The sequence below is a fragment of the Homo sapiens genome, chromosome 4 (assembly GCF_000001405.40).
Source record: "Homo sapiens chromosome 4, GRCh38.p14 Primary Assembly".
Classification (NCBI taxonomy): domain Eukaryota; kingdom Metazoa; phylum Chordata; class Mammalia; order Primates; family Hominidae; genus Homo; species Homo sapiens.
The window spans coordinates 66,564,068-66,566,194 of record NC_000004.12 but is presented as its reverse complement, the minus strand read 5'-3'; the positions used below and the strand labels follow the sequence as shown (position 1 = coordinate 66,566,194).

The following is a 2,127-nucleotide window of genomic DNA, read 5'->3' as shown; positions in this document are numbered from 1 at the left end:
AATCAAATTTTTGGTCTCAAGAAACAAAGGTAGAAATAAATGAAAACATAATTTTAAAATCTGTGCCTACAAATATAAAATTGACAGAAGGAAAAATTCTCTTTCACAAAATGTCTTTTCTCTGGCAGCATTCTGTTATGAATTCTTATTATTCAAAATGACTTTCCAAGGAATGTTTTTCATCTGAATCACCATAATTCTGTTTCAGTGCCTCAGCATCATTTTCAAATACTGTATGACTGATAAGAAATTTAAAAATGGTTTTACTCAATTTGCTGGGTCTTCCTTTTTTCCACTTCCAAGGAAATAATTGCTTTTTTCTTATTTTTTATTCCTTCTGATTTCCCCTTTCTCATGTATGTTTCTTCTGTCTCCCCTATCCTTCTCTTTACTGAAGTATGTTCCCCTAATTCCAGCAAAACCTCGAACTTAATAGTTACCCTGGAAACCTCCCCCGCCCCTTTTTAATTCTAGATCTCTTGGGACTGTATTTCATGGCAAAACCCTATTAGCTTCTTTTGATGTTTTGATCTTTCTGTGATTGGGAACCAGTTCATGCAGTCCAAACAGACAATTTTCTGAGGGCACTAAGTGGATTTTCAGATCTCCTTTGAGGAGAAATGAGCTTCAATAAAACATTACACCACTACCAAAGTTTACTGGCTTGAGTGATGTAGCTTCTTATGTGGTTCCTGCCTTTTACTGTAAGTTTACACTCCCATGAACATTAACTCTGCCCGGCGGTAGTGCTTTAAGTGAAGGTTTGCACGCAAATATGGCCTCCATGAAAGTTACCTTGGGCTAAAGTACTTCCATCATCGACAAAATTAAGCGTCACACTAGATCTCTGGTGGTTTAGTTGGCCTCAGATTCAGTTGTGGCTCATGTTTTATTAATGTGGTGAGATTGTCTTTTATTTTCAGCCTCCCACAGCAGGTGAGCTTGTCATATTCACTAAGAGAGAACGAGAGAAGATTGCCCACCACTTGCGTGAATTGTTTCCACAGTTCTTAATTTCTGCTGAGAGGCAGGCAATATAAACAAAGTTTTACTTAACTGCTGGAACATTTGTCAAGGATTTGATACACGCAAACCTCCATTTTTATGCCGCGCTATGAAAATGCTGCAGTGTTGCTCCTCTGAGTAACCCTGTGCGTGCCAAGCAGTGTCTCAGAATTAAGGTATTTGAACAATTTCTCTGGCTTTAGTCTAAGGAAAAGAAATCTCACCATCCAGAAAACTAGGCGGGTGGCCTGGAAATGAGTTAAAAATCATAGAAAAGAGAGGTTCTTGCTTCCAGTGTGGTAAGCTTAACTTTTTCCCAGCCCATTTTCCTGTAGTGGTTTTTTTTTTTTTTAGTATAGAAAATGCCAAATCCTTAAAGTTATAACAGCTGTTAAAAGCTACGTTCTTTAGGATACTACAATGTGCTAGAAAAACCTTCAAATTTTATCCAATATACCAATAAACACAAGAATATTTTTCTTGTGAATTAAATTTGTCAACAATTAAGAAGAGAATTATTCTTTTTCTTTCTTTCTTTCTTTTTTTTTTTTTTTGAGACCGAATCTCGCTCTACTGCTCAAGCTGGAGTGCAGTGGCGTGATGTCGGCTCACTGCAACCTCTGCCTCCTGGGTTCAAGCCATTCTCCTACCTTGGCCTCCCCAGTAGCTGGGCTTACAGGCATGCACCAAGCCTGGCTAATTTTTGTATTTTTAGTAGAGACAGGGTTTCATTATGTTGGCCAGGTTGGTCTTGAACTCCTGACCTCAAGTGATCTGCCTGCCTCGGGCTCACAAAGTGCTGGGATTACAGGCATGAACCACCGCACCCGGCCCGGGAATTCTTATTGTGTAGTCTCTATTAACAGAATTTATCTCTTTTTTTTTTGTAAATTGTTTGTCATATTTACAGATTATTTTTTAATTTGACAGGACCTAGAGTTCAAGAGAAAACAGATACAAATTCCATGCTGCAACTAATGATGAATAATAACATACTGATCAATGGGTTCTGTATAGTAATTTAATTAAGTGGGCTTCATGAATCTTGGGAAAGTGAACAAACTTGCATTATGTTGATTTCTTTTTATTTTTTGAAATTACAATATAATAAAAATTGGGTAA

The 2,127-nt window shown here is 37.4% G+C and overlaps 1 annotated feature.

Annotated features, from left to right (window-relative positions):
• Nucleotides 418-1,617: an enhancer, noted in NCBI's record as "BRD4-independent group 4 enhancer chr4:67430296-67431495 (GRCh37/hg19 assembly coordinates)". NCBI's record gives its function as "activates an origin of replication core promoter dependent on BRD2, P300/CBP, MED14 and CDK7 cofactors, and independent of BRD4, by STARR-seq in HCT116 cells {active_cell/tissue: HCT116}" and the evidence as "EXISTENCE:reporter gene assay evidence [ECO:0000049][PMID:35650434]".